The sequence below is a fragment of the Homo sapiens genome, chromosome 6, assembly GCF_000001405.40.
Source record: "Homo sapiens chromosome 6, GRCh38.p14 Primary Assembly".
Taxonomy (NCBI): Eukaryota; Metazoa; Chordata; class Mammalia; order Primates; family Hominidae; genus Homo; species Homo sapiens.
In genome coordinates this window covers 138,331,168-138,345,013 of record NC_000006.12, presented here as the reverse complement: position 1 = coordinate 138,345,013, position 13,846 = coordinate 138,331,168, and the positions used below count along the sequence as shown (strand labels likewise).

At 39.6% G+C, this 13,846-nt stretch overlaps 1 protein-coding gene across 3 annotated transcripts in view, besides 4 other annotated features; it reads right to left on the bottom strand.

Moving 5' to 3' along the window:
* Positions 1 to 350: 350 nt before the first annotated feature.
* Positions 351 to 13,846, bottom strand: part of ARFGEF3 (ARFGEF family member 3) — a 182,725-nt gene continuing 169,229 nt past the window's right edge. For 2 of the 3 annotated variants that reach the window (NM_020340.5, XM_047419108.1), the window contains 2 exons: positions 9,826 to 11,044; positions 351 to 8,719 (listed from right to left, as the gene is read on the bottom strand). In NM_020340.5, coding sequence (NP_065073.3) covers positions 8,528 to 8,719; positions 9,826 to 11,044 — 1,411 coding nt within the window. In that variant the 3' untranslated portion in view covers positions 351 to 8,527. The remainder of the gene's footprint in view (positions 8,720 to 9,825; positions 11,045 to 13,846) is intronic. The other variant, XR_001743524.2, reaches the window with a different exon arrangement.
* Positions 9,429 to 10,030: an enhancer, noted in NCBI's record as "H3K4me1 hESC enhancer chr6:138656121-138656722 (GRCh37/hg19 assembly coordinates)". NCBI's record gives its function as "activates a minimal SCP1, AML or CMV promoter by ChIP-STARR-seq in naive H9 embryonic stem cells {active_cell/tissue: H9 hESC(naive)}" and the evidence as "EXISTENCE:reporter gene assay evidence [ECO:0000049][PMID:30033119]".
* Positions 10,031 to 10,634: an enhancer, noted in NCBI's record as "H3K4me1 hESC enhancer chr6:138655517-138656120 (GRCh37/hg19 assembly coordinates)". NCBI's record gives its function as "activates a minimal SCP1, AML or CMV promoter by ChIP-STARR-seq in naive H9 embryonic stem cells {active_cell/tissue: H9 hESC(naive)}" and the evidence as "EXISTENCE:reporter gene assay evidence [ECO:0000049][PMID:30033119]".
* Positions 12,339 to 13,086: an enhancer, noted in NCBI's record as "NANOG-H3K27ac hESC enhancer chr6:138653065-138653812 (GRCh37/hg19 assembly coordinates)". NCBI's record gives its function as "activates a minimal SCP1, AML or CMV promoter by ChIP-STARR-seq in primed H9 embryonic stem cells {active_cell/tissue: H9 hESC(primed)}" and the evidence as "EXISTENCE:reporter gene assay evidence [ECO:0000049][PMID:30033119]".
* Positions 13,087 to 13,836: an enhancer, noted in NCBI's record as "NANOG-H3K27ac hESC enhancer chr6:138652315-138653064 (GRCh37/hg19 assembly coordinates)". NCBI's record gives its function as "activates a minimal SCP1, AML or CMV promoter by ChIP-STARR-seq in primed H9 embryonic stem cells {active_cell/tissue: H9 hESC(primed)}" and the evidence as "EXISTENCE:reporter gene assay evidence [ECO:0000049][PMID:30033119]".

The window sequence follows — 13,846 nt, the reverse complement described above, 5'->3', positions numbered from 1 at the left end:
TTTTTAATATTACTTTTAAATACTAATATTCTTATTAATTGGATTTTTGGTTGTTTATGAACAAAAGGTAATACTTTAATTTTTTAAATGAATGATCTACATCAATATCTACTGACAGTAGGAATTTGATATAAGTTCTTATGAGTAAAAGATAATATCATAGAATAAGCCCTTTTTTTAAACAAGGAAATGATATATTATTTCTACAAATTTGTTTTTTAGGCATATACCAAATTGTCAATAATGACTATCTCCATGTTACAGGATTTAAAATGGGCCTTTACATTTAGACTTATGAAATGCCATGAAAAGGGGCCTAATTCTTTTGACAGAATTCTGTAAACACAGGATATTTATATATATTTATTCAGTAAACACAATTGTTTCATGTACCAGATTTTTAATGCATTTGAATCTTTATTCTACAACACAAGCAACATAAATACAATATCTTTTAAAATATTTTCTCTTTAGAATTTTCATTTCCACCTCAGATAAAATGTACACAAAATACACTTGCAAGCTTGCTTACAGAGACCTGTTAAACAAAGAACAGACAGATTCTATAAAATCAGTTATATCAACATATAAAGGAGTGTGATTTTCAGTTTGTTTTTTTAAGTAAATATGACCAAACTGACTAAATAAGAAGGCAAAACAAAAAATTATGCTTCCTTGACAAGGCCTTTGGAGTAAACAAAATGCTTCAAGGCTCCTGGTGAATGGGGTTGCAAGGATGAATTTTGCATTTTATAGGTAAAATGGTATACTGACTCAAATCATTATGGCTATAACAAGCTTCATTTATTTATAATCTTCAATGAAAATAAGTTGATTCTTTGGCATAATACTATAAGGAATAAAAGGACCCATACCACCCACTGGCTTTATCTAGAGTGGGAGATAGTAGTAGGGGAACTGTTTATAATGTAATTTGTCTAAGTTTATTCCTCTTAGAAAAGCGGGAAAAGCATATTGAATAATAGTCTCTTAGCATGATTAGGGCAATAAACATCTTATTCTTATCTGTCCCATCCCCACAACACAACACTAAGAAACAAAAATAACTTTTCCCTCTAGGCACCTCCTCCTGCCCCATCATGCCACACCTGGATATTCTATCACATTGTTTCAACTGAAGTGAAACCCAACTTATCAAAAGCATTCATCTTTGTTCAGCTTTGCCTATTTTGTGGGAAATCAATTTTTATTAGAGAGAAGCACTCCCAATAAGAACCAGATGAAAGAAATGTAGGACAAAGCAGCTTGCACATAATCCCGAGGTAGCCAGGGATGCTCACTGGGGCTGGCAGTGTCAGGGCCCGAGCCTCCCTAACTTTAAGAAAAAACATAATCTTTTACACATTGGTTCAAAAGATTGGCTTTTGGATTCCCTCCTCTCCTTTTTGGCACTGGTTGGTAAAACAAAAATAAATTACTCTTAGAGATTGACTTTTGAAATTTAATTTTAAAATCAGTGTTACTAAAAGAACTAAATGCACACATAATTTCCAAAAATTATGGGAAACTAAAGTAAAAAAAAAACCAAAAAAAAACACCCTTATTTCCATCCACAGAGGCAAAAACTCTGTAGATTGTCTCCTTGATATCATCAACATTCTGATATGCTTTCTGATCTCACTAATTCTAGTAAATATAATCATTTCCTTCCATTCCTACAATAGTCTAAACTAATTTAAATGAAGTCAGCATATTTATTAAGCAGAAGTCTTTAGAGAAACCTCATTGAATCAATAAGCATTATGTGTAATTAATACAGTTTATAAATAGGTGATGATTTTTAAGTGACTTGTTTTTTCTTAAATCATTCTCTGTATGGTCCTTAATTTTTTTTAATGGTAAAAGAATTTCCAAAACTAATTAATTCAGTAAAGAAGAGATAAACTAAGGCCCCCTCTATATGAGTTAACATGATTTCACTGAATTCCCAAAGCACACTGATTCACTTTTATATTTTTCCCATTATTTGGAAGATGAAATAATGAATATGGTCTCCACCATGTAGATATGTGCACAAACAACATATTTACTGAAAAGTCAAAAACAGGCACACCTGCTGCTTAAAAGGGAATTAGTTCATTTTGCAAATTTCCGTGAAGCCTTTGGGTAGACTCTTTACAGATATATATGAAATTAAAATGTTAATTTACGCCAGAAAATTAAATGAAAGATGAAGGTACAACAAGTAGTCTCATCTCATCTCAAATGGCTAATATTTTGGTGGCCAATGAAAGATGTAAAACAACTGGCAAGCAAACAACTATTCAAAAATCTGTAAGCCAGGAGCCAAGGCTGTAAAGGAGCTGACATGGAAACATCTCATTAAAACGACATGGATGGAAGAAATTCAAACACTACATACTTAAATTTAAAATCACCTTCAGTACAAGTCAAAGGGTCAACATGATACAAATGATCATCCATAGAATCAATGTTTCTAAATACAAAGACAAGAAGCTTAGATTTATCTCACTGTTCCATAGAACTTATACATTCATTGTCTTCTAGCTTGTAAAAACCAATTGTTGGTATAATAAAACTGGAAACTGGGAAGATTGAGCAAGACTGCTGTATAGAATCCAATCCCAAGTCATCTGCCCAAGGGTAGATTCAGTTTTTCTCTAGCGTTTGATAAGTCAGGCTGATCTTAAAGGTAGAAGTTGGAAATTTTTTCAAGGCAGTGGTTCTCAAAGCATAGTTCCCAAAACAGCAGTATTGGCCTCACCTATAAACTTGTTAGAAATACAAATTTCCTGATTTACTTAACTGGGAACTCTGACCATGAGCCCAGCAATCTGTGTCTTATTTTAAAAAAAGGCCCTCCAGGTGATGCTGATGTGTACTAAAGTTTGAGAACCACTGTTCTAAAGACAGAAGATACTAGACAACCACTGGTTAAACCTTCAGGATAGGAATTAACAGTACGAACAGTTGTTGGTGGTTGAAAAGGGTGGAAGGACCATAATTAGATGGGATTCACCAGCAGTGGAGTGCTGTTTTGTCACTAAAGTGGTCAGCCACTCTCTCCTCCCTGGTACCCCTTTGTAGTATTGTACAAAGATACAGAGAAAAGGTTCTGTATGGTGCTAGTGGTGTGGTAGTGGTTTCTCTTCAATGATGGAGTGGTACCACAATTTATAAAGAAACCAATGATCTCAGGAGATATTTTTGGTCTGTCTTCCCTGAAATAAGAATTGTGTTTTGGAAATCTAAAGGGTGTTCTGTTCCAAAATCTTAAGTTATTAGTTATTTCCACATCAAATAGCAAACACTACAATACAGCCAGGGAAAGAGGATCTTCCAAACAAACAAAAAAGGTATGTTTTCTAGATTGCTCCACTACTAAATGAGAACTTTTTTTTTTGAGGCATAATTATAAATCAAGTTCTTGATCAATTTTACAAATCTTTCCCAGTGACAAGCTCATATTTCCAATAAAAAGTGCTCTTTTGCTTTCCTAAGGCCACACTAAATCTCCCTGGGGTCACCTAAGTGGTGCCCAAGCATATTGAAGTTTTGTCATCTGCTTACTGCAAGACTCTGGATTTTCCTTCTGCCTGTTACCTTGTCTGTAAAACAAGTGGAAATGTGTAGATGTTATGGCACATGGTTACTATGGATGTCGACCTGATGCCCTTAGCACCTGGCTCTTCAAGAAATCCTGTCCAACCAGCTGCTTCCTCTTCAGAGAATGTACATTTTGAAAAATGGTTATCCATTATTTTGCATATTCCCAAACTTTGTGCTACTAATTTAGTACCATGTATTTCCCAGAGAAGCAAGTAAAGAGGCACTGTTGGCTACAGGGCACTTTATTCTGAGTTGATTAAATGATATTTGAAAAAGGTTTACAAATTGTGCATGCCGTTCCAGACACACACTGCCATGTTCTTCTGTGTTAATAGCTGGCCATGAATAGTATTATTCCATCATTTCCACCTAATTCAGTGAGTTTTCTAAAGTAACACTGAATGTCTGCTTGAAGACTAAAGTTTAGATTTTGGTTTTATTTTCAAACACTTGAAATGTGTTACATGTGATTTTTTTATGTATAAACATGATTCATTTTCTTTTTTCAACTTTATTTTTAAAAACCTCCATAACATCCCAGACAGATCTGAGATGTCAAATAGTCTCATTTTCATGGCCTCGTTCCTTGAAACTTTTTTTCATACTAGAGTGCTTACTCTATGGACTTAGAGCATGTTGTCAGAGAGAGAGTATGGCCCTTGAATTCAGAAACACCTCTTTTGCAACCAACTTTGCCTTTTACTTGTTATCTTGGGCAAATTTCTTAACCTCTCTGGGTCTGTGTTCCCCTCTGAAAAAATGAGGAACACAACACTTGTCTCACAAGGTTGTTGTGAGGACTACGTGTGATAATACAGGTAAGGGTTTGCAATCACAGTGACATTCACTACTCGCCTCCTCCCTGCTATTTGTAACCTCTTGCTATTACTATCAAAGGTCTTCATTCTGTTTGGCTTGATGGGACTGATACTAATGGATTTTCCTTTCTGAGAAAACTTTCCTGTATAAGCAGTATTGTGATGAATCTGGCAAAGTCAAGGGTATCTATTATATAACTGCATTACCGTCTCACAGCGAAGGCTACTTGACTCTCAACTCACTCTGTATAAGCCTCATTTTAAAACAACAAGGACAAAAAGCCTAATGATCATTGCACAAATATGTTTCAATTTCAAGGTACTTCTGAATTATATTAACATTTTTGTCATGTTTGATTTAAAAATTTTAGTTTTATTTACTTGAGACGAAGTCTCACTTTGTCACCCATGCTGCAGAACAATCTTGGCTGACTGCAATCCCCACCTCCCAGGTTCAAGCAATTCTCCTGCCTCAGCTTCCCGAGTAGCTGGGATTACAGGCAGCTGCCACCATGCCCGGCTAATTTTGTATTTTTAGTAGAGACGGGGTTTCACCACGTTGGCCAGGTTGGTCTCGAACTCCTGACCTCAAGAGATCCACCCACCTTAGCCTCCCAAAGTGCTTGAGATTACAGGAATGAGCCATCACGCCTGATTTAAAGTATTTTAATGCGAGCTGTTAAGTATGTTAGCATCTGCCTGGGTTCTTATCGGTCAGTCATTACATAGACCCCAAATCATAAAGGTGTTCTAGTTTTATATCTATGGGGAAGGCTGGAAAATTACCACAAGGGGAGAGAGAGAAGGTGGTGTAAAAAGGCAGCCTAACTAACTATTTTTAAAAGCAGATCAGGAGATACAGGAGCTAGGTGAGATGCTGTGGACAGTGCATGAGGTTCAATTGTGAAAACCGATGTCCTCATTAATGACAGAGAGAACTCTGTCCCTCCATATACTTGGCTGGGCCATCATCAGTCCAGGGTCTCTTATACTTGGAGTTTTCCAGATGTTTGTTTCATGAAGCACACTTTACCAAAATTTAGGAAAAGAAGAGAAAGATCTCAACTTTAAGGTAATATACTTTTGGCTATAAATACAGGCAACTAAAAACAATGTATAAACTCTCATTCTGCTTAGGTCTGTAAATACATGCTAATAACTGTTCGTAACTTTAAAAGGCTGCCTTGAATTTTGTCTTACTGTTGCTGCAAAAGAGACTGTGAGGAGAGAAACACCTGACACTTTCAGAGACTGGGAGGGAGGGAAACAAAGTTGGGGGAGTGGGCAGCTGAGTCACAGGAACAGGGCAAGAGACTGAGCTGGGCAGCCTGGGAAGGTGCCACTCCCCTCTCAGTGTTCTTCATCTCCTCCCTTTCTTCTCCACCTGCTGGGAAGAACCACCTGAATGCCTACTCATTAGAGACTACTTTGCATCAAGCTGCAAATACCTCTGAGAAGTACTGCTGTCACTCAGTGATGGTTCTGGTTGAAATCTGATGTCAGTGTGGATGGCTGGTAACTCGAGTGCAGAGTATGTTAGGACTGAGTTATAGAGAAGACAATGGGAAGGTACCAAAACACTCTTAAAAAATTGTAGGTCAAGAGCTCTGTACACCTACTCATCCTTTTATTCTTGGGACCCATAATCAGGCTAGAACTAGAACAGTGTTTGGACACAGTACAGGGTAAACTTATGTTCAAGAATTTTGGATCCCATAATAGAGCATCGGGGAGAATGCTGATTTCCAAACAAACAACTAACATACTTTGGGATACAGTATTCACTTTTTTTTTTTTTTTTTTTTAGATGGAGTTTCACTCTTGTCACCCAGTCTGGAGTGCAATGGTGCAATCTTGGCTCACTGCAACGTCCGCCTCCTGGGTTCGAGCGATTCTCCTGTCTCGGCCTCCTAAGTAGCTGGGATTACAGGTGCATCCTACCACACCTGGCTAATTTTTGTATTTTTAGTAGAGACGAGGTTTCACCATGTTGTCCAGCCTGGTCTCAAACTCCTGACCGCAGGTTATCTGCCCACCTTGGCCTCCCAAAGTAAGTGCTGGGATTACAGGCGTGAGCCACCGTGCCCAGCTGGTATTCTCAAATTGAGACAGCTTCCTTTGAATTTTTCTACTTTATGAAAAGTTGCTATGTATAAATACTGTAATTCTAGCCTCTGCTTTACTGAAGCCTTTTCCCCCAGTAAACTGTGGAGTACTCACAGGTTCACAAAGAAGAACTGAACCTCAGGTAAGCTATAAAAAGAAACAAAGCAACTGTGGTGTTACTTCTGTTGGAAAATTTAAAAAAAGCAGTTATCCAACTTTCAATTCCATTTATAAAATGTAAAAATTCAAAAGTATACAACATAGTTCACTGATATCCCAACAATTCATTGCCTTTTAAGATCAAATAGCTGATTACCTGTTTCTAAACTTGAATTATTGTCTAGTGAGTAAAAACTGAAGGCAAACAGAGTGTTTTGTGGAACTGGGAAAAAAATGGATTCTGTGGTGATCTCTAGATGGTACACTGGATGATAAGGGTGTTTTTTTCAGATCACCTAAAGAAGTCAGAACACTGCCTTCCTCTTAACCTCTAAGGTAGTTCCATATTTCTCAAGGAGGGCAAAGTTTACAAATACCCCTTTAAATCCTTATTTCAATACTGTAGAATTTGTGTCTTATATTTAAAGGGTGACTTATTCATTATGAATGGGGCTGGGAGATTATAATGTATGCCTTAAATAACTCTGTAGAATGTGTGTAAGTAAGCTTGATTGAGGAGTTTTCAATCATTAGGATAATGTAAGAAATATAAAAATACTGTAAATAATAAGATAAAGCTTTCAAACGTATTTTCTAGTAATACTTAGAAATATCCACCTGAAATATTGGTCTGAATGCAAAGACATCAAACATAGGGTAACTTTACTTGGTAGATAGGAGAAATATTTTAAATCGACAAAATTTTCTAAATTTCAGTGTCTTTCTCCATTACTTTCATTTTGAGACTAGAGCTTGTGTAACTGACACCATAATTTTGCAAGATTGTTGTATTATATTTTAAGATTGAAAATGATTTCATCATAATCCATCCCCACCCCACACTCCCTGCTCCCTTCCCTGAGTCCCTTTCCTCCAAGCGTGTTGATATAAAATGAGTTGCGTCTTAATGTTTTGTTTTCTTAAAAACCAAATGCTATACCTTATGTTCAGACAATTGTGGGGCATGGAAATGGAAGTGCAACAAAGGACTAAGGCACCTTTTCTTCTTTCCTTTCCTTTCCTTGTTTGCCTTGGGGATGGAAACAAACACCACAAGAACAGCCAGGGTGGCTGGTCGGTCTTATGTCTCTTGACAATCTACGTACCAGCCACTTTCACTGGGTACTCTGTGTCACAGGCTGATAAGCCACAGACTTCAAACCCTGCTAGGAAAGAACTTTCTTCTTTTAGAAATACAGAAATAAAGGTACAACACAGTACCTTACATGGGGAAATTGGTGAATACCTGAAAATCTTAATGATTTAGGAATAATTTTGAAGTGTTCTGGATTATTTTACAACAGAAGTCACCTCTTTCTTGATTATGACACCCAAGAATATGTATTTATAGTTGTCTTCTTCCCAGCCAGACCCATAACCATAAATCTTCCTCCAATTAATAATCCCTGGTACTAGATGTCTGAGTGTTTATCAGCTTGACTTACCAGCAGATATTGCCTTAGGAATTGTATTTATTTTTTAAATGATGGATCAAATGGATCAATATAGTGTTTTCAAATGAGTAATCCTTGAAAATGACCCATTTGGGGACAACACTGTAAGCAAAAGCACTGGGAAATATACTTCAAGAGTTAGAAACATATCAAGGATTATAGATTCTTCTATAATAATGTGCAAAATCAGAATATCGTTTGTGTCATCTAGATACAAACCTTAGTATGGCCCCAATGCTGATCAGTGGTTGGAAAGGCTTTTTACATTAGGAAACACTGTTCTCTGAGACAGTAGTAGTAGTTTAAGTGGGGCTAGTGGTGGGGAAAATGCAACAGCTGTATTGGCAGGACTCTAACCCTCACTACTGTTATTTGGTGGGAGAGTAGAACAGGAGTCGGCTACACAATGATGTCATAGACACGGCCCACCCTGCCCAGCCACTCCCTCACAGCCTGGCGAACTCTGATGTCGGTCACGTGACAGGTCAGCTGACTGATGCACGGGAACACTGCGGGCTGGAGGGCCGTGAAGGTCTGGTCTGGGAGAATCTGAATCTGATTGAGAACTGTTAGCACCATGTTGGTCCATGCCTAAGAGAAAAGATTTAAGAAAATCAGTGGCTTTCCCCCCTGGTTTTATTTGAACACTTGAGAGTGGCCCTGCCAATGTGGAAATGGTTTTTTTCCAGGCTTTAGTTGCAATAAATTAGTTTTCACTCATTTAATATGCCTATAATAAATTGTAGGCGTATTAATTTATTATGCCTACATCATAACTTCACATACATAAAGATGGGCAGAGACTCGCCTTATTTTCAGCTTTCACAAACTACTAAACTCTTACTTATTCCTTAGATTTAAAAACAACAACAACAACAAACCTCCCTTGCCTTCTCACAGTGAGATCTCCACAGGCCGTTAATCTCAAACTCATTTTTTGATGCACCATAGAATTACACTCAAAGCCTCCCTGAAGAATGAGAATTTTTATGTGCACAGGATGGGCTAGAAAAACTTGAGATGAAAACAATTTGAAAAAAATTCATTGGCATAACCACACAATATTTACTTTGCTTTTTTCTTTTATATAATGCTTCATAACTACAGAATTTCTTCAGGGCCATTTTCGAATGACACACTAAGAACTCAATGCTAGTCAAAGCTTACTTGTTTTTAAAGACAGGGTCTCTCTATGTCATCCAAGCTGGAGTGCAGTGGCACCATCTCAGCTCACTGCAACCTCTGCCTCCTGGGATCACACAATCCTCCTTGCTCAGCCTCCCAAGTAGCTGGGATTACAGGCATGTGCCACCTCTCCCAGCTAATTTTTTTTTTTTTTTTGTAGAGATGATGGGTTTTGCCGTGTTGTCCAGACTGAAAAAGCTTACATGTTATAAGCTTTAGCCTCACCTTATTTATACAGGTAAGTTCCTAATTCTCAATAATATACATTACTATGGAGAAAAACAGTTCCTGAAATTACCTGAGAGTAAAATTCCAGCTTCATAATGACATACTGATCCTGGGAGATCCTGCACTTAGGTTCAGGCAGTCCTCTGACTTTGGAGGGAAATCGGTTCATACCCCCTACCTGTTTCTATAAATCTTAGCCTGTGTATGCCTGCTCTGCAAGGGGGGGCCCATCCAGTACTGGAAACCCAGCCTCCCGCCCACCTGCTGTGGCCACAGGGATGTACCTGGATCTGTGCTTCTGCGTCTCTCACCGAGACACTGAGGGAGCTCCCGGTGGAGCCTGAGCGGGGCCTCTTGTCCTGTCGCAGCAGCTCGGGGCCTGCGCTGAAGGAATGCCGCATTTGCCCTTGGTCCATCAAGTGCTGGGGACGCTGAAGCAGCGGGGAGTCCTGGCCCCTGGGACCCAGTGGCTCTCCTTTCTTCTCCACTTTGACCTCTTTGGGGAACGCGGACAGGTTGTGCTGCTGTTTCCTCTTTTTGTATTCGGTCATCAACTTTGAAATGGTCTTGTCGGCTGCCATGGTGTAGATTTTGTTCCCCGCATTCTCCCACCACTCCTTCTTCCGGCTGGGATCCTTCTTCTCCACTTTGGGGCTGGGGGGCAGCAGCAGGTCCCCACCACCGGCCTTCAGGCTCAGGGACTCGCCCATGTGCTCCCGGGACTGGCTTCTGTCATCCTCGGAAGGGGTTTCTTTCCCAGAGAAGCCCCCGGTGGATGGGGTGGATGACTCGGACTGGAAGGAGGGCAGGATGAAGAACGGGTCGCCCTTGAAGATGGGAGGCTCCTCCATACAGTTCTCCAGGTCCAAGTGCATCTGGATGTAGTTGTTGCACAGTTCCATGCACAGCTTGTGCAGCCTCTTGACCAGCCACACCCAATCTGCGTTGCTGACAGGCTGGACGCTGAGCAAGGGCATCCGTGCCCGCCACTGTCTCTTCTCCTTGCCTCTCGGGGGGCTGACCTGGGCGGTTTCCTCAAAGATGTCTTCATCCTCAGATGAACACTGCTGGGAAGAATCCGTGCTTCTCTCGTCGTCCTCAAAAAGGACCTTCTTCACTTGCTCGGCCGTGATGGTTTCTTGATTGGTGAGAACAGCACACACCAGGGCGTGGAAATAAATGTTAAAGCTCATCGCAGACTGGCGGTAGAGGTTGGCGGCGCCCCCGATGCCAGACACTTTCTTCAGCAGGCACTTCAGCCCGGGGCTGGTGTCAAACTCCCTGGCAGTCCTATAAGAGTCCAGCAGCAGGTCGAATATGACTGCCAAGTTCTGCATAGAGATGTATCTGAGGAAGCCAGCCAGCTTGGCTTCTGGCACTTGTATCGTCTTTTCCTCTCCAGGAGAGGGGCCTTTGACAAACTCTTCTAACAAGATGTCATATAAGTTCTGGAGTAACACCTGATGAGACAGCAGGCTCACCACAATTTCCCTGAAAGACACGCTTCAAGTGAAAAGAGAGGGCTCGATTAATGGTTTTCTGCCCTATATCAGGTGTCTCAAAGCAATATAGACGTTACCCGTTTCAGAACGATCTATGCAAATTTACAAACTAAACTACCTCTACTCAAATGTCTTCCATGAAAGAAGGCATACTTTTTGGGCACTGTGTGATAACCATTTTAATCACAACTAGTGGAGTTCTTGACACTTAAAAAAATTCCTGAAGCTGGGCCGAGCGCGGTGGCTCAAGCCTGTAATCCCAGCACTTTGGAAGGCCGAGGTGGGCGGATCACGAGGTCAGGAGATCGAGACCATCCTGGCTAACATGGTGAAACCCCGTCTCTACTAAAAATACAAAAAATTAGCCGGGCATGGTGGCGGGCACCTGTAGTCCCAGCTTACTAGGGAGGCTGAAGCAGGAGAATGGCATGAACCCGGGAGGTGGAGCTTGCAGTGAGCTGAAATCGCGCCACTGCACTCCAGCCTGGGCAACAGAGCAAGACTCTGTCTCAAAAAGAAAAAAAATTCCCAAAGCTATAGAATATAAGTTATTATGCCAAATTAATAGTTGTCAAGATATCACAGATATCAGAGAGTTAACTGTGACATCAAAAGATATCACAGTTGAAGGGGGCTGGGAAGTCTTTTTGCCCTTGGGGACACAGAATATATTTTGGGTTTTCCTATTATGACCCATCACATGAGGTCAGATGTGGAATTTTCCATTTGTAGTGTCCTGTTGGCACTCAAAAAGTTGGGGTTAGGGATGCTCAACCTGTACTATGTTTGCCAAACTTTTTAATTTGCCAATGTGGTTTTGGTTTACAGTTTCATTTCTTTTCACTGCTCTTATAATTTTATGAAAATAGTTGTGGCCATTATATGGCCAATTAATGCCCCAAACTGGATAATTATAAAATTATGACAACCGTTATTAATTTCAAAGTTCTAGCCATGATGTTAATAACATTTTGCTTTATGTCTATGACTTTGAATGTAAAAATTTGTGTAAGTAGGAAAAAGTGCTTTTCTAACAGAAAATGACAAATCCTGCATAAATCTCAATGTTAACTTTGCCCTTTGTGTAGTCCTCACTGAGGGAAAACACATTACTCTCAAGATGAAATGAGTAACAAAGGACTGTCATTCGAAAACAGTAACCTTTTAAAATAAATCGCTTTAACTTTTTTTGTGGTAAAATATACATAAAAGTTACTACTTTAACTTTTTGATGTACACAATTCAGTGATATTAAGTATATTCATAATGTTGTGTAACCATCACTGCTATCTATTGCTAAAACTTTCTCATAATTTTTAACAGAAACTTACTTGGTACCCATTAAACAACAACTCTCCATTTTCCCAGCCCCAGCTCCTACTTAAGCTACCAGTAAACCTGAATACACACTCTTCTGAAAAAGAGGACTCCAAAAGCTTATAACAACTTGGCCCAAAAGCTACCACAGGATGCATACTAAAAAGGGAAATTTTTTACTGATCAAACAAGTCTGTCCCCCTGATAGCTATAACATCCTCAAGGGACAGGACACTACCTTATTCATCTTCTTGTCCCCAGTAACCAGGAAAATGGTGAGAGTAGCATTCAGTAAGTCTCCAAGTGGAAGAAAGAAAGAAAATGGTGAGAGTAGCATTCAGTAAGTCTCCAAGTGGAAGAAAGAAAGCAGGCTGGCTCTGACTGCAGGCTGCCTGAAGGAAATGCTCCCCCTGAGAAATGGTTCTGACATTTGAACCCCACTCCCCTAGGATTCTGGATCCTTGGCAGGAAGCACCACCAGAGGGGTGAGTTTAATCAGTCTGGTGAAGGCATGAAACCCTTCGCTCACAACACTGTTTTTTATTACCTTCCCTGAGAAATGGAAAGCCATTTTCCAGCCAACACCTAAAGTCAGGCCAATGCAAAGCCATGTCTGAATTGTGGAATATCTTCATCCACCGAGATCATTTTTTGGATGCTTTGAGAGATACAGCTGTTAACCATGCATGTAAAAAAGGACAGCAAATTCCCTTTACCTTAGGTGTGGGTTAAAGGGCGCAGTGACAAGAAAACAGAATGGGAGGGAAATGATACTGAAGAGATCAAAGTTTCAGAAAGATAAGTGAAACAATTTTATAGATATGCAATTCTTAATCATCTACGCTGACAGGAGACACAGATCTCAAACAAAATCAACAAATAACTTTCTAATTCAGCATACCCAAGGGTTTCAAGCTTTTTCTGAGCACACCTTTAAGAAGTCTGCCATCCTCCTGCTGCTTAAGGGCAAAGGAAAGCCAGCCTCCAGACTGGATAATTGAGAGTTAATTGCATAACAAGTGGTTGACTTAAAACATGCTAATATATATCTTAAAATGCTAATTAAGATTATGTGGATTGAGTAAAGCTTGGGGCTATCAATGTCAAGGCTATTAAAACAAACCCAAACAAACCAACCCAGGTTTCTCTATTTAAATGCTGTAATCTGGTTTTAGGATTACATCTAAAGGATGGACCTGGCTAGCATATAATTTTCCACAGGTCTAACTCATCTTCCACTACATCCTATGCTAAACTAAGAATTGCCCCTGCAAATAAGAGTCAAATCTAAGAATGCAAAGCATACAGATTTTGGCTAAGAGCTCTTAAAGAATGTTAAGGAATGTCTTTGACTCAGTGGGCAGTGGGATTGGTGAAAGAATTTAATATGCTTATTTTGTTTTGCTTAACTGCAGTGAGTGGGTAATTGCCTATTAAAAGTGCTAAGTAAATTTATGAGCCATGCTGGTATATTTTTAAACTGTAA